Here is a 25,671-nt window from a genome sequence, read left to right on the forward strand (position 1 = left end):
GTTTGTTTGTTTGTTTGTTTGTTTTTTGAGATGGAGTCTCGCTCTGTCGCCAGGCTGGGAGTGCAGTGGCGCGATCTTGGCTCACTGCAATCTCCGCCTCCCAGGTTCAAGTGATTCTCCTGCCTCAGCCTCCTGAGTAGCTGGGATTACAGGCGCATGCCACCACGCCTGGCCGATGTTTGTATTTTTAGTAGAGATGGGGTTTCACCATGTTGGCCAGGATGGTCTCGATCTTCTGACCTCGTGATCTGCCCGCCTCCGCCTTCCAAAGTCCTGGGATTACAGGTGTGAGCCACCGCACCCGGCCAGAAGTTTATTAAAAAGCTCTAGAAGAGTAGGAAAGAAATGAAAGTGCACTTGGGAGAGATCCAAGTGGGCAACTTGAAGAACATGTGTCCAATTTTGATGGTCTTTTCAAAACACCAACTTGTTATTTTGTTGATCTTTTGTATTTTTTTGTTTCAATTTCATTTATTTCTGCTCTGATTTTTATTATTTTCTTCTAACTTTGGGATTGGTTTGCTCCTGCTTTTCTAGTTCTTTAAGATGCATCATTGTTTATTTGAAGGTTTTGTTTTTGGTTTTTTTTTTTCATGTAGGCAGTTACAGCTATAAACTTCCCTCTGAGTACTGCTTTCCCCGTATCCCAAGGTTTTTGGTATGTTGTGTTTCCGTTATAATTTCTTTGAAGAAATTTTTCAATTTTCTTCTTCATCTGTCCATTGACCCACTGGTCATTCAGGAGTGTATTGGTTAATTTTCGTGTATTACATAGTTTCCAAAATTCCTCTTGTTATTGATTTCTGGTTTTATCCCATTGTGGTCAGAAAAGATATTTGATATGGTTTCAGTTTTTTGGAATGTTTTAAGACTTGTTTTGTGGCCTAACATATGGTCTGTCCTTGAGAATCATTCATTTGCTGAGGAGAAGAATGTTTAATCTACAGCCATTGGATGACATTTTCTATAAATATCTATTAGGTCCATGTGGTCTGTAGTGCGGATTAAGTCCAATGTGTCTTTGTTGGTTTTCTGCATTGATCTGTCCAATGGTGAAAGTGGGGGTGTTGAAGCCTCCACCTATTATTGTATGGGGTCTGCCTCTTTAGTGCTAAAAATATTTTATATATCTGAGTGCTCCATTGTTGGGTGCATATATATTTTCAATTTTTATATCCTCTTACTGAATTGACGCCTTTATCATTATATAGTGACTTTGTCTTATTTTACAGTTTTTGCTTGAAATCTATTTTATTTAATATAACTACTCCTGTTCTTTTTTGGTTTCCATTGGCAGTGAATATCTTTTTTCCATGTCTTTCAGTCTGTGTGTGTCTGTATAGTTAAAGTGTGCTTCTTGTAGGCAACAGATCTTTGGGGCTTCTTTTTTTTTTTTATCCATTCAGTCACTCTGTGTCTTATGATTGAAGCGTTTAGCCCATTTATATTCAGTGATATTATTGATAAGAACTTTTATTCCTGCCATTTTCTTACTTGTTTTCTGGTTGTTTTGTGGTCTTTCCTTCCTTCTGTCCTTTCTTCCTGTCTTCCTTGTAGTAAAGGTGATTTTCTCTGGTGGTATGTTTTAATTTCTTAATTTTTATTTTTTTGTGTATCTATTGTTATGTTTTTAGATTTGAGGTTACATGAGGCTTGCAAATAATATAACCCATTATTTTAAACTGATGACAACACTGATTACATAAACAAACCAACAAGCAAAAAGAAAACTAATAAAACTCTGCGTTTTAACTTTGTCTCCCCACTTTGTTGTACTGTCTTGAAAAATTGTTATTGTTTTTGATTGGTTCATTTTTTATCTTTCTGCTGGATATGAGTAGTTTACATACCACAATTACAGTGTTATAATATTATGTGTTTTTCTGTGTACTTACTATTACCAGTGAGTTTTGTACCTTCAGATGATTTCATATTGCTCATTAACGTCTTTTCTTTCTGATTGAAGAACTCCCTTTAGCATTTCTTGTAGGACAGGCCTGGTGTTTATAAAATCTCTCAGCTTTTGTTTGTCTGGGAAAGTCTTTATTTCTCCTTCCTGTTTGAAGGATAATTTTGCTGAATATACTATTCTAGGTTAAAAGTTATTTTCCTTCAGCACTTTATATCATGCCAGTCTCTCCTGTCCTGTAAAGTTTCTACTGAAAAGTCTGCTGCCAGATATATTGGGGGCTCCATTATATGTTACTGGTTTCTTTTTTCTTCTTGCTGCTTTTAGGATCCTTTCTTTTTCTTTTCTTTTTTTTCTTTTTGAGACGGAGTTTCATTCTTGTTTCCCAGGCTGGAGTGTGGAGTGCAATGGCATGTCGTTGGCTCACCGCAACCTCCTCCTCCCGGGTTCAAGCGATTCTCCTGCCTCAGCCTTCCCAAGTAGCTGGGATTATAGTCATGTGCCACCACGCCCAGCTAATTTTGTATTTTTAGTAGAGACGGGGTTTCTCCATGTTGGTCAGGCTGGTCTTGAATTCCCTACCTCAGGTGACCCACCCTCCTCGGCCTCCCAAAGTGCTGGAATTACAGGTGTGAGCCACAGTGCCTGGCCTAGGATCCTTTCTTATTCCTTGACTTTTAGAGTTTGATTATTAAATATGTTGAGGTAGTCTTCTTTGAGTTAAACCTGCTTGGTATTCTATAACCTTCTTTTCTTTTTTTTTTTCTTTTTTTTTTTTTTTTTGGAGACGGAGTCTTGTTTTTCTTGCCCAGGCTGGAGTGCAGTGGCACAGTCTTGGCTCACTGCAACCTCTGCCTCCTGGGTTCAAGTGATTCTCCTGCCTTAGCCTCCTGAGTAGCTGGGATTACCAGCGTGAGCCACCGTCCCCAGGTCCCAGTGTTCCATAACTTTCTTGTACTTGAATATTGGTACCTATTTCTGCATTTGGGAAGTTTCCCGTTATCCCTTTGAATTAACTTTCTTCTTTGCCTCTCTCTCTCTACCTCCTTTTTAAGGCCCAAAACACTTAGATTTGCCCTTTTGAGCCTGTCTTCTAGATCTTGTAGGCACGTCTCATTTCTTTATTTTTTTTCTTTTGTCTCCTCTGTTTTCAAATAGCCTGTCTTCAAGCTCATTAATTCTGCCTTCTGCTTTATCAATTCTGCTATTAAAAGGCTGATGCGGCTGGACACAGTGGCTCATGCCTGTAATCCCAGCACTTTGGGAGGCCGAGGTGGGTGGATCACTTGAGCTCAGGAGTTTGAGACCAGCCTGGGAGACATGGTGAAACCCCATCTCTACAGAATATAGAAAAATTAGCTTGACATGGTGGTTTGTGCCTGTGGTCCCAGCTTCTTGGGGGGGTCTGAGTGGAGAGGATGGCTTTAGCCTGGGAGGCGGAGGTTGCAGTGAGCCGAGATTGCACCACTGCACTCCAGCTTGGGTGACAGAGTGACAGAGCAAGACTCTGTTTCAAAAAAGGGAAAAAAGTGTGGGTATGGTGGCTGACACTAGTAATCCCAGCACTTTGGGAGGCCACGGTGGGTGGATCATTTAGGTCAGGAGTTCGAGACCAGCCTGACCAACATGGTGAAGCCTCGTCTCTACTAAAAATACAAAATTAGCTGGGCATGGTGGTTCATGCCTGTAATTCCAGCTACCTGGGAGGCTAAGGCAGAAGAATTGCTTGAACCCAGGAGGCAGAGGTTGCAGTGAGCTGAGATTGTGCCATTGCACTCCAGCCTGGGCAACAAGAGCAAAACTCCGTCTCCAAAAAACAAAGACTGATGCATTCTTGAGTATGTCACTTGCATCTTTCCACTCCAGAATTTCTGCTTAATTCTTTTTAATTCTTTCAAGTATTTGTTGAATTTACCTGATAGGATTCTGAATTCCTTCTCTGTGTTATCTTGAATTTCTTTGAGTTTTCTGAAAACAGCTATTTCGAATTCTCTGACTAAAAGGTCACATATCTTTCTCTGCAGGATTGACCCTTAGTGCCTAATTTAGTTCATTTGGTGAGGGTATGTTTTCCTGGATGGCCTTAATGCTTGTGAGTGTTCACTGCCATCTGTACATTGAAGAGTCAGGTATTTATTATAGTCTTCACAGTCTGGACTTGTTTGTACCATTCTTATTGGAAGGTATTCCAAGTATTCAAAGGGAATAGAGTGTTGCAATCTATGTCTTTGGTCACTGTAATCGTATCTGCATTAGGGGGTACCCCGAACCCAGTAATGCTGTAGTTCTTATAGACTTATAGAGGTACCATCTTGGTGGTCTTGGATAAGGTCCAGAATTCTCTGTATTACCAGACTCTGTATTACCATTCTTTCTTCCCCTTTCTTCAGGCAGAGGAGTTGCTCCTGTGTCCATCAGCACCACAGGCCCATGAAGAGGGGATTATTGCCAGGGTACCACCAGTGTTCACTTAAGGCCCAGGGCTCCTCAGTCAGCTTATGCTGGATGCTGCCAGGCCTGGGACTCATCTTCAGGGTAGTGGGTTCCCCTCTGTTCCAGGGGTAGGTCCAGAAATGCCATCCAAGAGCCAAGGCCTGGATTCATGGACCCTAGTAGCCCACCTGGTGCTCTTCCCCAGGGCAACCAAGCTGGTCCCTAAGCTGCAAGACAGAATCTCCTTTACTCTTCCCTCTCATTTTCTCAAACAGGAGTCTCTGCTGGTAGCCACTACAGCTGTGAATGTGCTGTGTCATACCTGAAGCCAATATGTCTCGGAGTTTCACCTGAGGCCCATGGTGAGGCCCTGGTTACCACTGCTGATTATTCAGGGCCCAGGGGCTCTATAGTGAGCAAATCATGAATCCTAAATGGTCTACTTTAAGAAATTCTGTGGGTTTTTTTGTTTGTTAGAAGTAGAATCGCCTGTTCTGTTGCCCAGGCTGGAATGCAGTGGTGCAATCATAGCTCACTGCAGCCTCGAACTCCTGGGCTCAAGCAATCCTCCCACTTCAGCCTTCCAAGTAGATGGAACTACAGGCACATGCAACCATGCCCCGGTAACTTTTTTTTTTTTTTTTTCGAGACAGAGTCTCGCTCTGTCACCCAGGCTGGAGTGCAGTGGCACGATCTCGGCTCACTGCAAGCTCCGCCTCCTGGGTTCAAGCGATTCTTCTGCCTCAGCCTCCCAAGTAGCTGGGACTACAGGCGTGTGCCACCATGCCTGGCTAATTTCTGTATTTTTTTAATAGAGACGGGGTTTCACCATATTGTCCAGGCTGGTCTTGAACTCCTGACCTCGTGATCCACCTGCCTCGGCCTCCCAAAGTGCTGGGATTACAGGCATGAGCCGCCGCACCCAGCCAATGCCCCAGTAACTTTTTACATTTTTTGTAGAGACGGGGTCTTGCTATGTTGCCCAGACTGATCTTTAACTCCTGTACTCAAGCAATCCTCCTACCCAGGCCTCCCAAAATACTGGGATTGCAGGCATGAGCCACTTGTGTTTTTGTTTTTTTGTTTGTTTGAGACAGTCTCTCTCTGTTGCCTAGGCTGGAGTACAGCAGTGTGATCATGGCTCACTGTAGCCTGGGCTCAAGCAATCCTCCTGCTTCAGCCTCCTGAGTACTTGGGACTGTAGGCACGTGCCACCACTCCTGGCTAATTTTTAAAAATGTTGAGTAGACACAAGGTCTTGCTATGTTGCCCAGGCTGGTCTTAAACTCCTGGGATCAAGCGATCCTCCCACCTTGGCCTGTCAAAGTGTTGGAATTTACAAGTGTGAGCCACTACACCCCGCCAGTCTTTTCTTGATTACTGACAGTTTTCTAAAAAGCAGTGAGAGAATGTTCTTTACCCAGGTAATTTATTTTGTGTAAGACTAAACCTGTTAATGTAATTTGTTATGTTTATTCAGAGTAACAACATTTTAACCATCACAATTTGTAATTTTGCTTTTTGAAAAATGTGGTGTCTAAGAGCATATTATTGGGCTTATTACCAACTCTACAGCATGTTATTTTCTGTATCTTTCCTCCCAAGTAGCCTAATTTGAAGTTACGTATTTATTTTTAATCAGGGTACCCTTAGTTATTTGGTCCACATTGAACCTTGAAAAGGTAAAATAGATTTTTCTTAATTTTATTATTTGAATGTGTAGTTCAGAAACTTAAGGGACAAGGGTAGGTATTTGATTCTCTCTTATATTGTTAATTTTATCTTTCTGATCATGATTCCTACTCTCTTTTTGCCTAGTAGGTACATATTGGTTGCTAATTGTTTTTTTTTCTGTGGCGAAGTATTTGAAGTATTTACACATTATTCATTGATTCTAAATAATTTAACACATTTTTAATATATTTGGGTTTTTTTCCGTTTCTACCAGATCAAACTTGGACATAGATCAGAAGCTAAAGATGGTAAGTATTTCATGTAATCTGACAGATAGGAAAAGTTTTCTCCTTTTTTTTTTTTTTTTTTTTTTTTTTTTTTAAAAAGACAGGGTCTTGCTCTGTCACCCAGGCTGGAGTACTGAGACACAATCGTAGCTCACTGCAGCCTCAAACTTAGGTACTCAAGCAGTTCTCCCACCTCAGCCTCTTGAGTAGCTAGGGCTGTAAACATGTGCCACCACTTGTGGTTAATGTTTTATTTTTTGTAGAGATGAGGTCTGGCTGTGTTGCTCAGGCTTCTCTCAAACTCCTGGCCTCAAGCTATCCTCCCACCTCGGCCTCCCAAAGTGCTGGGATTACAGGCTTGAGCCACCATGCCCAGCATAAAGTTTTCATTCTCACTGAAGAAACGAGCAAAGTATGAATTAATAAGTTAGTAATGGTTCTGGATAGAGTTACTGCAGGGTCCCCGAAGAGTAAAGATAGACTCAGCATAGAGAAGGAGTATTTGGTGATTTTTACTTACTGGATATTCAGAGAAACATTCCAAATCACCCACATAAATGGAAGGCAGCAAGCTTAATTAGTTTGTCTTTCTGTCTTCATTACTGTTTTAGGTGTTACAAGCCATTGTTTTTTCTGTTTCTGAGTTTCTAATTACTTTGAAAATTCAGGATACATTTTCATGAAAGTACATAAAGCTTACTATGGAATAGATACATGAGGAAATTATTTCATTAAACTTTCTTCCAAAGTCTTATTTATTAGGATTCATCATAAAATAGCTCTTACAAAAGAGACCCATTGTCTGTGTAAGTGCCAATACTATATCTTATTTTTATTTTGTTTATTTTTTTTGAGACAGAGTCATGCTCTGTTGCCCAGGCTGGAGTGCAGTATCGCAATCTCGGCTCACTGCAACCTCTACCTCCCGGGTTCAAGCGATTCTCCTGCCTCAGCTTCCTGAGTAGCTAGGATTACAGGTGCACACCACCATGCCCAGCCAATTTTTTGTATTTTTAGTAGAGATGGGGTTTTGCCACCTTGGCCAGGCTGGTCTCGATCTCCTGGCCTCAAGTGATCTGCCCACCTAGGCCTCCCAAAGTGCTGGGATTACGAGCCACCGCGCCCGGCCTGTATCTAATTTTTAATTTTGAAATCTGTCATTTGTATTGGAAAATATACTATCTTATCACTAGTTTGCTTTTAGCACAAACAATATGCCACTAATATTTGTAGGGCAAGAGTAGGGAAGCTTATCACCTATATGCTGCACACTTATATATGTTGTTAGTCTAGTAGTGGTGTTCAGATCCTGGTATAGATAAGGTGAAATATTTTTCACCATTTGTCGTAGTCTTTGTTAAGCTATTTTAAAAGTAAAGCAATATTGGCCTGGTGCCATGGCTTACGCCTGTAATCCCAGCACTTTGGGAGGGTGAGGTGGGTAGATCGCCTGAGCTCAGGAGTTCGAAACCAGCCTGGCCAATATGGCAAAACCCCATCTCTAACGAAAATACAAAAAATTAGCCAGGCGTGGAGGTGCACACCTGTGGTCCCAGCTACTCGGGAGGCTGAGGTGGGAAAATTACTTGAGTCTGGGAGGTGGAGGCTGCTGTGAGCCGAGATCATGCCACTGCACTCCAACCTGGCTGACAGGGTGAAACCCCATCTCAAAAAAAATAAATAAATAAAAATAAAGCAATGTAAAAGAACAACAGATTTGACATAAAAATTGTCAAAGTAGCCCTTATTTTTGTGGGTAATGTTCACTATTTTCTGAGATTACTAACCTTTCTTTAAAAATATGTGTTTGTGGCTGGGTGTGGTGGCTCACGCCTGTAATCCCAGCACTTCAGGAGGCCAAAGCGGGTGGATCACGAGGTCAGGAGTTGGAGACCAGCCTGATGAACATGGTGAAACCCCGCCTTTACTAAAAATACAAAAATTAGCCGGGCGTGGTGGCGCGTGCCTGTAATCCCTGCTACTCTGGAGGCTGAGGCAGGAGAATTGCTTGAACCCGGGAAGCAGAGGTTGCAGTGAGCCGAGATCACGCCACTACACTCTAGCCTGGGCGACAGAGCGAGACTCCATCTCAAAAAAAAAAAAAAAAAAGAAGTGTTTGTAAGGTTTGAGATTTCAGAATTATTCACTTTTTGCTTTGCCTTTTTATATAGGTATAAATAGAACCGCCTTAAGAGAGATAAAATTATTACAGGAGCTAAGTCATCCAAATATAATTGGTGTGAGTATGATCAAAACTGTTACTGGGATTTGGGACTCTGCCTTTTCTTAATATAATGGATGTTGATTAAAGGCTCAGCAAGATGACTTGTTCTGGATGAGCCTTGTAGAAGCTTAAAGGAAATACATTTTCTATCCCAGTTGTTTTGGTAGGCATTGTCTTCAAAACTATACCACTGATTAAATAAATGAAATATTGACATGTAGGCTAATTTTGTCGGAAATAATTTTGAAGTCTAGGGAGCTCTAGCATGTAGTGGCTGAGAGTGTCAACCTGAATTCAAAACCTTTCTTTCTGCCTGTGTGAGACCTTGAGTGTGTTCACTCACAACTCCCCAGAGTCCCTGCCTCATAGGGAAGTTGTGAGACTAGCCAATTGAATAGATGTAAAGTATCTGGAATAGTGCCTACCATAGAAAATGTATTCATTCATTCAATGATAGCTGCTGTTATTTAGAGGATTTCTTAAGAATCACATTTGGGACTTTTCTTTTGAATTGGAGACTGGAATGAGGTTTTCATTGGTTAATTTCTTAATTCTAACTCCAAATATTTGGGGAAAGAGGTTGGGTATTTTTTTAAGTAAAATTTAATATTTTTATGCTTCAAAATACTAATTCCTTTAGTACTGTCCAAAAAAGGACAAATGTCAAATTTAATCAAATGATTTAAGCTTTATAGGGAATTACCAACAGTTTAAATGCTTTTTAAATTTTTAAAAATTGCCTCAGTTGCTATGATACTGTCAGGTATTAAATAGTGAATCACATTTTAATTTTTTAACTTTGCAGCTCCTTGATGCTTTTGGACATAAATCTAATATTAGCCTTGTCTTTGATTTTATGGAAACTGATCTAGAGGTAAGATTAAGATTCCTGGAGAAATTCCTTTGTCCCAGTTTATCAAACAAGAACCTAAATATTTGTTTTCTACCCAAGAAGATACTGGTAGTAAAAGAAAAAAAGCTTAATTTTGTTGAAATTTGGATGTACTCTGAGGCAAAAGGATCTCTAGTTATTTTCTTCTAATCATTTAGTGATATCCCCAGTGTTACATACAAAGATTTGGATTTCATTGGCATTTCTGCCTTCTAAGTTCCCATAGCTAGTTGACGTCATTTTTGGAGAAATGAGCATTAGACCTATAAGATTTGTTTGCTTTTTTTTTTTTTTGTGATGGAGTCTCAGTCTGTTCACCCAGCCTGGAGTGCAATGGCGTGATCTCGGCTCTCTGCAGCCATCACCTCCTGGGTTCCAGTGATTCTCTCACTTCAGCCTCCCAAGTAGCTGGGATTACAGGTGCCACCACGCCCGGCTAAATTTTATATTTTAAGTAGAGACGGGGTGTCACCATGTTGGCCAGGCTGGTCTTGAACTCCTGACCTCAAGTGATCTGCCTGCCTCAGCCTCCCAAAGTGCTAGGATTACAGGCATGAGTCACCATGCCTAGCAACCTATAAGAATTTAAAATTTATTTCTGGCCAGTGCAGTGACTCACGCCTGTAATCTCAGCACTTTGAGAGGCCAAGGCAAGAGGATTGCTTAAGCCCAGGAGTTCAAGACCAGCCTGGACCCCATAGATCCTGTCTCAGCTTTACAAATTATATTAAAAAATAAAGAAACTTATTTCCATATAATCAGAGTAATGTCATTCTTTTGAAAGCCAAGTTTTTTTGTTTGTTTTTGTTTTTGTTTTGTTTTTTTGAGACAGAGTCTTGCTTTGTTACCCGTGCTGGAGTACAGTGGCGCGATCTCAACTCACTGCAACCTCTGCCTCCCAGGTTCAAGCAATTCTTGTGCCTCAGCCTCCTGAGTAGCTGGGATTACAAGCGCCCATCACCATGCCCAGCTAAAATAGAGATGGGGTTTCACTATGTTGGACGGGATGGTTTCAAACTCTTGACCTCTGGCGATCTACCTGCCTGAGCCTCCCAAAGTGCTGGGATTATAAGCGTGAGCCACCATGCCCGGCCTCTTTCTTTTAGATAAATACCTAGCAGTGGTATTGCTAGATCACAAGATTATTGATTAGTGGTATCGATCACAATATTAGTGATGCTGTTATAGATCACAATACTAATGGTATTGATCCTGGAAGGACCTATCATAATAGGCTATGGACTCACCACTAGGCTATGGATTGCACCATTGCACTCCATCCTGGGTGACAGAGTGAGATTCCCATCTCGAAAAAAGAAAAAAAAAAGAAACAAAAACGTATGCCAGAATTCAGTTGGTACAGATGTTTGGCTTTATTAATAATTATCAAAACTGGAACAATCCAAACATCCCTCATTCTAACTGTACAAACAAACTGAAATACTACTCAGGAATAGAAACACACTATTGATAAATGCAGCAACATAGATGAATCTGAAATGCATTATACTAAGTGAAAGAAGCCAGGCTAAAAAGACTATGTATTGAACCATTTCATTTATATGATATTCTGGAAAAGGCAAAATGAAAGGAACCAGAAACCAGATCAGCGGTTATGGGGGCTTTGGGGTAAAGGAAAGGAGTAAGTACAGAGGGGCCTCAGGGAATTTGGGGAGGTTACGGAACTATGCTTTGATTATAGTGGTGGTTACATGACTGGATGCATTTGTCAAAACTCATGGAACTATACACTAAAAAGGGTATGCTTTACCTTAAATCTGATTTTAAAAAAAGAAAAGGGGAACTTTTAGTTCCTAACTGATAAATCTAGAATAAACTGACATTAGGCACAGCTCATAAATAATGCCATCAAAACTCAGTCTTACGCTTTAACTAAGCTCCATTTTCTTCTCTGTTGCATTCTTCATGTGTACAGTTCTCAATATGGTGTTCCAGATGCTTCTAGGTATATGTTTGTAGAGTTTAATAATACCTGAGGAACGAAAGTGCTTTCTTTTCTTTGATTCTAGCACAAGTACTTGGCCTGGTTGATTGACTTGTCTTGTATCCCTGAACCAATCACTTGGCCAGGAGACTGCAGTGTGATAATGGGGATGCCTGGGTCATGTGCCTACCTCTGGAGGCCTTAGGTTGACTCAGTCCTACCTTAACCATGTGGACTAAGCTGAGAAGAGATGGCTTCCCAAAGGAACACTAACTGCTATTGTCAGAAGATGCAAGCAGAAACAACAGGTGTTTGCTACTTTCATGCGAAAGCAGTAGAGGACAAAGCACTGCTTTCTTTTCAAACCAGAAATGCTCTCCCTACCCATCTAACTCTGGAGATTTTGACAGGGCTTCCTGAGGAAACTTAGATAACCTCTTTTGAGAGTCTCCTGTATTGATACTTACATTTTAAGTCTGTAAATTGTTTTATGTGGTAGAGTTTATTTGAAATAATAAAGGGTACCTGTATATTGTATACTTGCTTTACAGGTTATAATAAAGGATAATAGTCTTGTGCTGACACCATCACACATCAAAGCCTACATGTTGATGACTCTTCAAGGATTAGAATATTTACATCAACATTGGATCCTACATAGGGTAAGGTTTTTAATATTGCTTCTTTATACTAGTCAAGTTTTATATAGCCAATTTGGTACATAGTGGTCTGAATATGTAAATTGTTTAACAATGAATTTATAGCTGACTGTTTTATCCCATCTTTTTGCTATATATTATTCCCTTCACTTGTTCCAGCAGTTGGTGCTGTAAGGACTCCATATTACTTTGTGAAATTTAGAACTGGAAGAGATCCAGTCCCTCATTTTTTTTTTTTTTTTTTTTTGAGATGGAATCTTGCTCTGTCACCCAGGCTGGAGTGCAGTGGCGCGATCTCTTGCTCACTGCAAGCTCCGTCTCCTGGTTTCATGCCATTCTCCTGCCTCAGCCTCCCGAGTAGCTGGGACCACAGGTGCCCGCCACCACGCCCAGCTAATTTTTTGTATTTTTTTAGTAGAGACGGGGTTTCACCGTGTTAGCCAGAATGGTCTCGATCTCCTGGCCTCGTGATCTGCCCATCTTGGCCTCCCAAAGTGCTGGGATTACAGGCGTGAGCCATTGCGCCCGGCCTCCTCATTTTTTAATAGATGAAGAGCTAAGTTGCTAAGTGACCTGACCATGGTTATATTTTTTTTCAAGGTTGGCTGCTGATAATGGACAGAGTATTAAAACATAGGTTTTGACCCAGGCATGGTGGCTCACTTTTGTGTTGCCAGCACTTTGGGAGGCTGAGGCAAGTAGATATCTCGAGCCCAGGAGTTCTAGACCAGCCTGGGCAATATAGTGAAAACTCATCTCTACAAAAAATACAGAAATTAGCTGGGTGCAGTGGTGCACACCTGTAGTCCCAGCTGCTCAGGAGGCTGAGGTTGGGGGATCACCTGAGCCCAGGAGGTGGGGGTTGCAGTGAGCTGAGACCTCACCACTGCACTCTAGTCTGGGTGACAGAGTGAAACCCTGTCTCAAAAAAAAAAAAAAGAACATAGGTCTTTTGGCTTTAAGTTCAGTATTCTTTGTGCTACAATGTTGTTGTGGGGAAAAAAATATAGAGATGGTCTTGGATTAACTCATACAATGCCAAAATACTAGAAAAGTAATGTTTCTTGTAGCTCTAAAATTCAAGGTACAAAATACAGTTTATGAAATAGTGGGAACATTCAGCTTTTAGAACAAAGCTGATAATTTAGCTAGGTAGATGCTAGCTACCTAGCTATTTAGATAAGTAGCTAAGAATATATAATTTATAACTAGTAATTCTCATATCGTAAGTTTGGAATCCCTCTTAGGTTATTGCTGATGTCTTTTTAGCATGGATTTTGAAGAATGTCATCCTCATTCTTATACATTAACAACGTATATTATGAAAGTTCATATTTATTATTAATAGTAGGAACCATTTATTGAGTGCCTACTATGAGCCAGTTATTACACTAGACTACAGAAAATATCAGATTTAATCCTCACAGAAACTCTATGAAGTATGTAAATTATGGCTTAGTGAAATTAAGTTCCTTACCAAGGTTATATATTATAACCAATCCAATTTTGCTTTGATGGGATTTTATATCAGTGGGAAAAAAATTGATTGTTTAGATTTCAGGTGTTACCTTGTTTTTGCTAAGTTTAAAGTTATGCCAACTAAATGTAGCACTACAGTGTTCTCCCCTACCCTGCTTATTTGTTTGTTTAAAACTTCCGTCATATAGGATCTGAAACCAAACAACTTGTTGCTAGATGAAAATGGAGTTCTAAAACTGGCAGATTTTGGCCTGGCCAAATCTTTTGGGAGCCCCAATAGAGCTTATACACATCAGGTTGTAACCAGGTAAGAATCTCTTAAAGCTACATGTGCAGGAGTTTGATCAGAAATGAGCATCAACTGGCTTCTCTGAACTATCTTGGCAGAGTTAAGGAATCATTGTTGATAGATACCGTCTTAAAAAATACTGCCATTTGGCCAGGCGCGGTGACTCATGCCTGTAATCCCAGCACTTTGGGAGGCCAAGGCAGGCAGACCCACGAGGTCAGGAGTTTGAGACCAGCCTGGCCAACATGGTGAAACCCCGTCTCTACTAAAAATACAAAAGAATTAGCTGGGCATGGTGGCGCACGCCTGTAATCCTAGCTACTCAGGAGGCTGAGGCAGGAGAATTGCTTGAACCAGAGAGGCAGAAGTTGCAGTGAGCAGAGATTGCACCACCGCACTCCAGCCTGGGCGACAGAGAAAGACTCCCTCTCAGGGAAAAACAAAAAACAAACAAAAAAAAAACCTGTCATTTTTATGTTAGGTATACTTTACCACGATGAAAAAATACATAGCCCCTTTTCAAACAGAGTCTAACTTAATCCTAAGACATTTACCTTGTAAATGGGAACAATTTATACTTTAACATTTTAGTTAGATAATCTAGAATTTCAGTGGATATTCTTCTACCTAATCATCTGATTTATTGGACCCATTTTTATTATGTTGGTCAGTGCTGATTCTGTATCCTTCTATGTAAATGAAAATTCTCTAAACAGAGCAATGTCTTGATATTTGAATTTTTCATATTGGTAATTATATTTTCCATTTGTATTTTTGATGTGAAAAAACAGAAAATCACATTAAATAGGAATGATAGATTTTATAATTTTTGTCCCAGTGGCATTTTGTTAATTTCCAAGACCGTTTTAAGGATCTGCAAAGATTTTCAAATTCTGTATTTTTTCTTTTTCTTTTTTGAGACAGGATCTCGCTCTGTTGCCCAGGCTGAAGTGCGGTTGTGCAAACAGTACTCACTGCTGCCTTGACCTCTTGGGTTCAAGCAATCGTGCTACCTCAGCCTTCCAAGTATCTGGGGCCACAGGCACGCCCCACCATGGCTGGCTAATTTTTTAAAGTTTTTATAGAGATGGGTTTCGCCATGTTGCCCAGGCTGGTCTCAAAGTCCTGCACTCAAGCGATCCTCCCACCTCAGCCTCCAATAGTTTTGGGATTACAGGTGTGAGCCATTGTGCCTGGCCCCAAAGTCTCTATTTTAAATTATTTTGCCACCTTCTTCCAAATAGATGTCACTGAGTATAAATCACCTAAGCCCTGAGTAAGAAGTAGGGGATGTGAGTAATTGTTTATGTAATTGCTAGAGCAGTTAAGCTCAACATTCAGGAACTCATAGAAACAGGGACCTGTGTACAAGAGCATTGTTAACAGAGCTTTCTCATCTACCAGTTTCTCATATTTTCTCTGTCTGTAAATCAAATGCTGCTGGTAAATCAAATTAAGATGAAGACTCTGGGAATTGACAATGGGATTTAGCAGTGTGGACATGACTGATAAGCTTGATAAGAGCAGTTTTGATGGAATGGTAAGGATGAAAGCCTGATTGAAAAGGTTCTCTGTGTGTGTGTGTGTGTGTGTGTGTGTGTGTGTGTATGTGTGTGTGGTGTTTTGTTTTGAGACGGAATCTGGCACTGTCGCCCAGGCTGGAGTGCAATGGCGCGATCTCTGCTCACTGCAACCTCTGCCTCCCGGGTTCAAGCAATTCTCCTGCCTCAGCCTCCCAAGTAGCTGGGATTACAGGCGCCCACCACCATGCCTGGTTAATTTTTTGTATTTTTAGTAGAGACGGGTTTCACTATGTTGGCCAGGCTGGTCTCAAACTCCTGACCTCGTGATCCGCCCGCCTCGGCCTCCCAAAGTGCTGGGATTACAGGCGTGAGCCACCACACCCGGCCTGAAAAGGTTTTAAGAGAGGATGGAAGAAAAGGAATTGGAGACAGTAAGAATAGACAATTCTTTGAACTGGGCAGAGAATGAGGAGGCACCTATTAGGGGAGGTAGGGTCCAGAGAAGTTTAAGACTGGAAAAATACTGGTATGTTTGTACATTGTTGGGAAAAGTCTAGTAGAAAACAAAAGACTGCTGTAGGAGAAAAAGGAGAGAACTGCAAGAGTATTATATTTAAAACTTCATGAAAGAGTATGGTATCTAGTCCTTAAAGTAAGGGATTGCCTTTAAAAACAGAAAACAGACAAGGATCGTTCATCCCTAGAGATAGAAGTGCTTTGATAATTTCATGCTAAAATGATACTAATTCTTTTTGTTCTTTAGGTGGTATCGGGCCCCCGAGTTACTATTTGGAGCTAGGATGTATGGTGTAGGTGTGGACATGTGGGCTGTTGGCTGTATATTAGCAGAGTTACTTCTAAGGGTAAGTCTAAATTAATGTACGCACTTTAATATTGTTGTTGCAGTTATTTGTTCTGACAGTTTGTATAAGAATTCTTGTCCTAGGCCAGGCATGGTGGCTCACGCCTGTAATCCCAGCACTTTGGGAGGCCGAGGCAGGTGGATCACTTGAGGTCAGGAGTTCGAAGCCAGCCTGGCCAACATGGTGAAACCCCATCTCTACTAAAAATAGAAAAATTAGCTGGGCATGGTGGCGGGTGCCTGTAGTCCCAGCTACTCGGGAGGCTGAGACAGGAGAATCGCTTGAACCTGGGAGGCAGAGGTTGCAATGAGCCAAGATTGTGCCACTGCACTCCAGCCTGGGCAACAGAGCAAGGCTCCATCTCAAAAAAAAAAAAAAAGAAAAAGAAAAAGAAAAGAATTCTTGTCCTGCCAATGTCTTTACAACAAAAAGCCTACAAATAGTCCAATTTTTAAAAAGCCAAATGTAGCATTTTTTAATGTTAATATGAAATGAGAATATCTTCCATTTAGGACAATAAGAACTTTACTGTAGAAGTTTTATACTTCAGAACATAGAAATTCACTTGTAATATGGCAGTATCTCTATAACAACTAAATATGTTCAGATAAACTTTTGTCCTCCTGAGGGTTTTTTTGTTTGGGTCTGTTTTAAGTGCGCTTTAGGAAATGTATAATACCAACCACTGCAGCTACTACTCTGTATAACTTAAGCCTTGTGTGAGACCATTATTTTAGTTCTGTTGAAACAGAACAGATACAATGTTACTATAGCATTTCTGTGACTGAGACCATCATCTTACAGTAAAAAAAATCCCCTGCTTCCCCTCACCAGAGAGAAAGATGCTGACTTGGAAACTTCTCTTTAGCTATGAAGTTTAGATCTCCAGAAAGACTAGCCCTTACGAATGATGAAGGTAAAGGGATACAGGGGAATCCTTCTGAAGCTAGTTTTTTTCTCTCCATATTCTGACCCCTGCTCTCCCTCTCCTTAAGCCATATGTATTTAAAGAAATTCAAACCAAGATTGAATAGCTTTTTTATCTCCTTGAACACAGAAAACAACTTTTGTACACCAAAGAGAAAAACACTAAACTAAAAATGTTTAGTTTAAGCATAGTGGTGGCTCACGCCTATAGTCCCAGCTACTTGGGAAGCTGAGGTGGGAGGATCACTTGTACTCAGGAGTTTGAGGCAAGCCTGGACAATATAGCAAGACCCCAATCTCTTAAAATAAAAAAAAGTAAATTCTGTGCATCATTTTGAGAAACTTACCCAATGGGCATTTGTAGAAGAAACCCACACATTCAAACTTGGAAGGTAATATGGGAATCACAGTGCTAACAGGGGGTCCTGTGAATCAGCTGGCATGATAACTGCTACTTACCTGAACATAGAGTATACCAGAAATTCACACTGAGAATTTATCAACCACCACAATCCATTCATGGCCAAGAAGAAAACAGAATTCCATAGCCCCTAATGTTATGACTGATCACTCCATTGAGAAAGCAAATGAAGAGAGACAGCAGTTGAGAGTAGACAGGTTAGAGATTGTGGACCTGTTAACAATCATACTTGGAAATTTATTAGCCATTGGCATTGTTGCTGGAATCATCTTTAAAGTTATAAGGAAAATGACATGCAGACTAAAGAATTGTACTCTTCTGCCATACCTTTTGTCCTATTTTAAGCTGTTCTTGTGCTCAATTGAAAAGGTAGAAATGTTGCCCATATGAATGCTTAGCCAGGGATCACCAGATAGTTATTAAGGATCTTCAGATAGTAATGAATACTTCCAAAATGAAAGGCAGACTGAAACAAACTAAAAAGAAACTTGGAAAAAATGGAAACAACCAAAGCAGAAGAAAATTCACCGCCCCCAGCCCCCTTTCCAAATATTCAGAGATCTAAGAGATTATAGTGCATCTATAGAATAAGCACACCATACTTTTTTAAAAGGGGAACAATAAAATAAGAGACACTTGAACTATTAAAAATAGAAGATAGCCAAAAGCAAACAAAAACAGTGAAAGGAATGGGAAAGTAAGCTGCAAAACTCTTTCATTAACTAAAATCAAAAGATGAAGAGATGGCTAGGCACAGTGGTACATACCTGTGGTCCCAGCTACGTGCGAGGCTGAGGCAGGAGAATCTCTTGAGCCCAGCAGTTCAAGACCAGCCTGGATAACATTGTGAAACCCTGTCTCAATAAAAAGATAGATGGACTATAGTAGAGAAAAGATAAAATTAACAGATTGATCCAGGATTCTAGAATGTACCAACAGAAAACAAGGAAAATGGAGGGTAGGAAATCTCAAAATAGTGAAGCACTGCTAGATGTGAATCGTCAGACTAAAAGTGCCATGAAGAGTACAATTATGAGGCCGGGCGCAGTAGCTCATGCCTGTAATCCCAGCACTTTGGGAGGCCGAGGTGGGTGGATCACCCAAGGTTGGGAGTTTGAGACCAGCCTGGCCAATATGGAGAAACACTATCTCTACTAAAAATGCAAAATTAGTTGGGTTTGGTGGCACATGCCTGTAATCCCAGCTACTCAGGAGGCTGAGGCAGGAGAATCGCTTGAACCCGGGATGTGGAGGTTGCAGTGAGCTGGAGATCACACCATTGCACTCCAGCCTGGGCAACAAATGTGAAATTCCGTCTAAAAAAAAAAAGGCCAGGCACGGTGGCTCACGCCTGCAATCCCAGCACTTTGGGAGGCTGAGGCAGGCAGATCACGAGGTGAGGAGATAGAGACCATCCTGGCTAACACAGTGAAACCCCGTCTCTGTTGAAAATACAAAAAAAATTAGCTAGGCGTGGTGGCGGGCACCTGTAGTTCCAGCTACTCGGGAGACTGAGGCAGGAGAATGGCATGAACCTGGGAGGTAGAGCTTGCAGTGAGCCAAGATCGCACCACTGCACTCCAGCCTGGGTGACAGAGCGAGACTCCGTCTCAAAAAATAAAAAAAAAAATGAGTACAATTATGAAAATTACAAAGAAAACTTTCAAAAAAAAATTCTAAAGGCTCTGCATGAAAAAAAAAAACCTGTGCCAAGACACACTGTTGTGAAATTTCAGAATACGAAGGGGTAAGAAAAATATTTTATTTGCACAGAGAAGAAAAGCAGCATACATAGAAAAGAAAATAAAGTATTAGGGAAAAAGAATGGCATGAGCCTTCTCAACAGCAGCACTGGAATCTGGAAGTGTTCACATTGTGAGGGAAAATGATGCTCAACCTAGAATTCTTTGCCTGTTCATATTTTCAGTTTGCTCTGAGGGTAACTACAATTTATTACATCAGAAATTTACATCTAGGCCAGGCAGGGCAGCTCACTCCTGTAATCCCAGCACTTTGGGAGGCCAAGGCGGGTGGATCACTTGAGCTCAGGAGTTTGAGACCCACTTGGGCAATGTGGTGAAACCCTGTCTCTACCAAAAATACAAAAATTAGCCGGGCATGGTATTGAGTGCGTGTTTTCCCAGCTACTCAGGAGGCTGAGTTGGCAGGATCACTGGAACCTGGGAATTTGAGGCTGCAAGGAGGTGATATCGTGCCACATCACTCCAGCCTGGGTGACAGAGCAAGACACTAGCTAAAAAAAAAAGAAAAAAAGAAATCAAGAAATTAGCCAGACTTGGTAGTGCATGCCTGTAGTCCCAGCTGCTTGGGAGGCTGAAGTGGGAGGATTGCTTGAGCCTGGTTGTCAAGGCTGCAGTGAGCCACGTTTGTGCCACTGCATTCCAGCCTGGGTAACAGGCTGGGGTTCACCTTTAATTGGGCTCTGCAGGCGCTGCCGCACTCTCCACCTGGTGTGTATAGGGCATTTGGGGCCTTTAGAGGGCGCACTTGCGGTCAGCAGGCTGAAGAGGCTGCGGCGGCGAAGGCTGGGGAGCTGAGCTGAGCTGGTGCAGAGACAGCACAGGAGAAAAACAGAACCGAAAAATTCACACCGAATTAGAGGAGACAGACCTTGTCTCAAAAAAAAAGTTTAGGGCTGGGTGCGGTGGCTTATGCCTGTAATCCCAGCACTTTGGGAGGCCAAGGCAGGTGGATCACCTGAGGTCAGGAGTTCGAGACCAGCCTGGCCAACATGGTGAGACCCGGTCTCTACTAAAAATACAAAAATTAGCTGGGCATGGTGGTGGGCGCCTGTAATCCCAGCTACTCGGGAAGGTGAGGTGCTTAAACCCACAAGGCAGAGGTTGCAGAGAGTAAACCAACGGGAAGACATGAGATGCAGGGAACATAAGATTCAACACAGGAAAAAGGCAGTTCAAATTCTCATTTAATAGTGAAGGAAAGTTCTGGGAAAGCAGGTATGCATCAGGCCTGGAGAGTAGCTAGTCCAGATTGGAGCAGGTGGGGTGAGGACTTCAGCAGGGGTGGCTTCCAGGAAAAAAAAAAAAGGAACCGATGGATATGATTGGTTTAGTCATATAGAAATCGATATTTAATAACTGGAATATTTAGCTTTTATATAAACCAAGTTGTCAAAGAGCAGGCATTAGGAGTTGGTGGCGGAGGGCTAGGAAATCATTACCTTTAGGAAAACCAAATTGTATAAGAAGGGGAATTAATCTTAATTTTGGCTCTGCACTGAGCAAAAGTTACGTAATTATCAAAAATGAGAGGGAGATGATGGGTCAAAGAACCAATTTTTATTATAAGTCTTTAGTACTATTTAGTGTTTTAACAAGGTTCATGTATTTAATACAAATAAGACATTTTAAACACACAGCTTAAGTCCCAAAGCAGCTCTTTCTTTAGGGAAAAATAGTTTTCTTAGTATGGATATTTTCAAACATGCAAAAGCAAAGACTAGTAAAATGAGCCTCTATCTATACTCATCAACCAGTTTCAATAGTTTCAACATATGATTCATTTTATCAGTACTCTCCCACACTAGATATTTTTGCCACAAATTCCAAACATGTAATTTTATCCATGTTTCTTTAGTATTTTTCTCTATAAGGATTCCTTTTTTTTTTTTTTTTTTTTTTTTTTTTGAGACAGAGTCTTTGTCGCCCAGGCTGGAGTGCGGTGGCGTGATCTCAGCTCATTGCAACCTCTGCCTCCCAGGCTGAAGTGATTCTCGTGCCTCAGCCTCCCAAGTAGCTGGGATTACAGCCGTGCACCATGACACCCGCCTAGTTTTTGTATTTTTTAGTAAAAATGGTTTTGTGATGTTGACCAGCTGGTCTCAAACTCCTAGCCTCAATTGATCCACTCGCCTCACCCTCCTAAAGTGCTGGGATTACAGGAGTGAGCCACCACACCTGGCCATCTATAAGGATTCTTTAATCATAACCACAATACCATTGTCATCTGAAAAAAGTGAACATTAATTCCTTAATAAAATCAAGTCTGTATTCAGATTTTCCTACTTTTTCTCATAAATGTCTTTTTACATAGGCTTGTTCAAATTGGAGTGTGAAATCCATACATCAGACAGCTTAGTTTCATTTTTACATCATACAAAAGCACACCAATTCTTAAAATTTGTTTAAATTACAACCTTGTCCACAATTTGGCCTGCAAAGTGAGGGTACAGGTGCCCTACAAAAAACAAAAGATAATCCTTTTGGGTTTAAGAAGAAAATTAGCATGTCTAAAAATAGTTGTAATATTATTTAATATCCTTTTAGTTTTTTTGTTTTTTGTTTTTAAGATGGATTCTTGTTCTGTCGCCCAAGCTGGAGTGCAGTGGCTCCATCTCTGCTCACTGCAGCCTCCATCTCCCAGTTCAAGTGATTCTCCTGCCTCAGCCTCCTGAGGAGCTGGGACTACAGGCATGCACCACCACGCCTGGCTGATTTTTCTATGTTTGGTAGAGAGACAGGGTTTCAGCATGTTGGCCAGACTGGTCTTGAACTCCTGACCCATCTAGAGTAAGTTAGGTGCTCTTTCCATGTGGTCTAGGATCTCGTACTTACTCAACACACCGAATTGTAAATGCTTGTTTATGTGTATCAGCACTGCTTACCACCTCCACCTAAGGGGAGGGCAGGGAATGTCTCGTTTTCCTCTTTTAATTCCTGAGGCTTAGCACAAGGCCTGTTATATGGGAAGTGTTTATTAAAATTTGGAGTGAATAAAATGGATAGTAAAGGTGCTGTTTTGTTGGTTAGCAGTGGTAGGATCTAATAACGTACCCAATACACTTTGTACTAAATTTTCAATATTCGTTGCAGAGTTTTTAAGTTTTTCTTATTAAATTTATAGTATTTGTCTAACAGGTATCAAAAACCACTTTGAAGGCCAGGCATGGTGGCTGACGCCTGTAATCCCAGCACTTTGGGAGGCCGAGGCGGGCAAATCACAATGTCAGGAGATCGAGACCATTCTGGCTAACACGGTGAAACCCCATCTCTACTAAAAATACAAAAAAATTAGCCAGGCGTGGTGGCGGGCGCCTGTAGTCCCAGCTACTCTGGAGGCTGAGGCAGGAGAATGACCTGAACCCAGGAGGCGGAGCTTGAACTCCTGCACTCTAGCCTGGGCAACAGAGCGAGACTGTCTCAAAAAAAAAAAAAAAACCCATCTCTAAGGCTGGCGTGGTGGCTCACGCCTGTAATCCCAGCACTTTGGGAGGCTGAAGTGGGTAGATCACTTGAGGTCAGGGCTTCGAGACCAGCCTGGCCAACATGGCAAAACCTCATCTCTACTAAAAATACAAAAATTAGCCAGGCATGGTGGCATGCCCCTGCAGTCCCAGCTACTCGGGAGGCTGAGGCAGAAGAATCGCTTGAAGTGAGGAGGAAGTTGCAGTGAGCCAGGATTGCATCACTCACTGCAGCCTGGGTGACAGAGCGAGACTCTGTCTCTCTAAAAAAAGAAAAAAATTAAAAAAAAAAAACCCACCTTGAAAAGTCTCCCTCTTACTTTCTTTCAGGTTCCTTTTTTGCCAGGAGATTCAGACCTTGATCAGCTAACAAGAATATTTGAAACTTTGGGCACACCAACTGAGGAACAGTGGCCGGTAAGCCTTTATGCATTTTCTTTGAAATGTAATTAGGACTCTGTAAAGTTCTTAAACTGTCATATACTTTATATAGTGCTGTCACGTGAATATTAAAGACATTCATTATAATATGTACTCAGAACACTTTAAATGATAAAGTATATAAAGTAAGAAGTTACAATTGTGATATACCATCAACCTCTTGTATACATGTAGTCCTTTCCCCCCACCCCAGTAATCCTGACCTCAGGGTAATCACTATTAACAATTCATTGTAAAGTCATGTTAGGAGTTTATAAGCACACTACGAACATAAAAGGGTTGCATGTTCTTTGACTCCTTGACAAAAATGGGTTCACGTCGTATATATACACGGTGTGAAGCCATTATATATATAAAACCCATTACACACACATGCACACATGTAGGTGTACATATATGTATATATGATGTTTCTCTTAGATTTTTTTAAATTATTATTATTTTTTTTAATAGAGATGGGGTTTCACCGTGATGCCCAGGCTGGTCTCAAACTCCTCGTCTCAAGCAGTTCTGCCTCAGCCTCCCAAAGTGCTGGCATTACAGGCATGAGCCAGCGCACTTGGCTAACATGATTTTCTAAATAGTAATTGCTTACTGATGTTTCTCTTTGATTTTTTAAAAATTAAACTTCTTGGTGGGTGCGATGGCTCACGCCTGTAATCCCAGCACTTTGGGAGGCTGAGGCGGGCAGATCATTTGAGGCCAGGAGTTTGAGACCAGCCTGGGCTACAGAGTGAGACTCTGTCTCCAAAAAAAAAAAAAAAAAATTAAACTTCTTATTTTGAGAATATTATTCACGTGCAATTGTGAATATATAATTCACAATTATATATTGTGGCTGGGCACAATGGCTCACGCCTGTAATCCCAGCACTTTGGGAGACTGAGGTAAATGGGTCACTTGAGCCCAGGAGTTTAAGACCAGCCTGGGCAACATAGTGAGACTTCGTGTCTATAAAAAACAAAAATTAAAAAAATTTAGCCAGGCTTGGTGGTGCACACATTATGGTCCCAGCTACTCAGGAGGCTGAGGTAGGAGGATTGCTTGAGCCCAGGAAGTCAAGGCTGCAGTGAGCTGTGATTGCACCACTGCGCTTTACCAGCATGAGTAACTGAGTGAGTCCCTGTCTCAAAACTATAATAGTAATACTACAGACATATTTCACGGACCCTTTACCTAGCTTTTACAAGATGGGAGCATCTTATAAAATCAGTACAGTATCACACCAGGATGCTACAGTCAAGATACAGAATATCACCACAAGAATCTCTCATGGTATTCTTTTATAGCTATGCTTACTTTCCTTCTACCTACTCCTTAACTCTTGGCAATCACTAATTTGTTCTCCAGCTCTGTAATTTTGTCATTTCAAGAATGTTATGTAAATGGATAAATGGAATCACACAATATATAACTTTGTGGGATTAACTTTTTCATATCCATCATAAATGGAAGTTCATTCAGGTCATTGCATGTTAATAATTCATTCTCTCTTTTGTTAACTGCTGAGTATTGTGTGGATTTATTTCAGTTTCTTCAACCGTTCACCCATTGAAGGACATCTATATTTGTGTTGTTTCCAATGTGGGGCTATTACCAATAAAACTGCTCTAAACATTTATGTACAGTTTTTTATATAAGAATATATTTTTATTTCTCTGGGATAAATGCCCAGGAGTTCAGTTCTTGAGTCATATGGTAGTTACATATTAATTTTTAAATAACCTGCAAAACTCCAGAGCAGCTATACTGTTTTACATTCTCATCAGCAGTAAATGAATGCTCCAGTTTCTTGGAATCCTCTCCAGCATTTGGTGTTGTCACTTTTTAATTTTAGGCATTCTAATGAGTGTGTCATGATAGCTCATTTTGATTTTAATTTTCACTGCTCTAATGGTTAATGGTGTTGAATATCTTTTCTTGTGGTTATTTGCCATCTTTAGTTAAATGTCTCTTCCCCATTTTCTGATTGGATTCTTTGATTTTTGACTGTTGAGTATTGAGAGCTCTTCATATATTCTAGATAGTAGTCCAAAAAGTGTATGTAGTTTGCAGATGTTTTCCCTCGTGCTGCCTTTTCATCCTCTGCAAAATTGTAATCAGGTTTGTCACTTTTTCTTTAATTGATCATCCTTTTGGTGTCAAGTCAAAGAGCTCTTTTGCCCAGCCCAAAGATTTTTTGACAATTTTTTTTTCTTTTTTTTTTTTTTTTCAAGACAAGATCTGGCTTGTTGCCCAGGCTGCAGTGCAATGGTGTGATCTCAGCTCACTGCAACTTCCACTTCCCAGGCTCAAGCCATCCTCCCACCTCAGCCTCTTGAGTAGCTGGGGCTGTAGGCATGCACCACCACGCCCAGCTAGTTTTTGTGTTTTTTGTAGAGACAGGGTTTCTGCATGTTTCCCAGGCTGGTCTGAAACTCGTGAGCTCAAACGATTTGCCCACCTTGGCCTCCCAAAGTGCTGGGATTACAGGCATGAGCC

At 41.1% G+C, this 25,671-nt stretch overlaps 1 protein-coding gene across 12 annotated transcripts in view, besides 3 other annotated features; it reads left to right on the forward strand.

The window, feature by feature from the left end:
* The window catches only part of CDK7 (cyclin dependent kinase 7), a 42,636-nt gene that overhangs the window by 11,333 nt on the left and 5,632 nt on the right, over window positions 1-25,671 (forward strand). For 2 of the 12 annotated variants that reach the window (NM_001324077.1, NM_001799.4), the window contains exons 3-9: window positions 6,291-6,324; window positions 8,475-8,542; window positions 9,333-9,401; window positions 11,916-12,026; window positions 13,691-13,809; window positions 16,078-16,177; window positions 23,080-23,166. In NM_001324077.1, coding sequence (NP_001311006.1) covers window positions 9,384-9,401; window positions 11,916-12,026; window positions 13,691-13,809; window positions 16,078-16,177; window positions 23,080-23,166 — 435 coding nt within the window. In that variant the 5' untranslated portion in view covers window positions 6,291-6,324; window positions 8,475-8,542; window positions 9,333-9,383. Of the gene's footprint in view, window positions 1-4,617; window positions 4,705-6,290; window positions 6,325-8,474; window positions 8,543-9,332; window positions 9,402-11,915; window positions 12,027-13,690; window positions 13,810-16,077; window positions 16,178-23,079; window positions 23,167-25,671 lie in introns of all 12 variants that reach the window. The other 10 variants (NM_001324072.1, NM_001324075.2, XM_047416609.1 and 7 more) reach the window with 7 other exon arrangements.
* Window positions 3,932-4,432: an enhancer, noted in NCBI's record as "H3K27ac hESC enhancer chr5:68545886-68546386 (GRCh37/hg19 assembly coordinates)". NCBI's record gives its function as "activates a minimal SCP1, AML or CMV promoter by ChIP-STARR-seq in primed H9 embryonic stem cells {active_cell/tissue: H9 hESC(primed)}" and the evidence as "EXISTENCE:reporter gene assay evidence [ECO:0000049][PMID:30033119]".
* Window positions 4,433-4,933: an enhancer, noted in NCBI's record as "H3K27ac hESC enhancer chr5:68546387-68546887 (GRCh37/hg19 assembly coordinates)". NCBI's record gives its function as "activates a minimal SCP1, AML or CMV promoter by ChIP-STARR-seq in primed H9 embryonic stem cells {active_cell/tissue: H9 hESC(primed)}" and the evidence as "EXISTENCE:reporter gene assay evidence [ECO:0000049][PMID:30033119]".
* Window positions 19,675-20,175: an enhancer, noted in NCBI's record as "H3K27ac hESC enhancer chr5:68561629-68562129 (GRCh37/hg19 assembly coordinates)". NCBI's record gives its function as "activates a minimal SCP1, AML or CMV promoter by ChIP-STARR-seq in naive H9 embryonic stem cells {active_cell/tissue: H9 hESC(naive)}" and the evidence as "EXISTENCE:reporter gene assay evidence [ECO:0000049][PMID:30033119]".

The sequence above is a fragment of the Homo sapiens genome, chromosome 5 (genome assembly GCF_000001405.40).
Source record: "Homo sapiens chromosome 5, GRCh38.p14 Primary Assembly".
Classification (NCBI taxonomy): domain Eukaryota; kingdom Metazoa; phylum Chordata; class Mammalia; order Primates; family Hominidae; genus Homo; species Homo sapiens.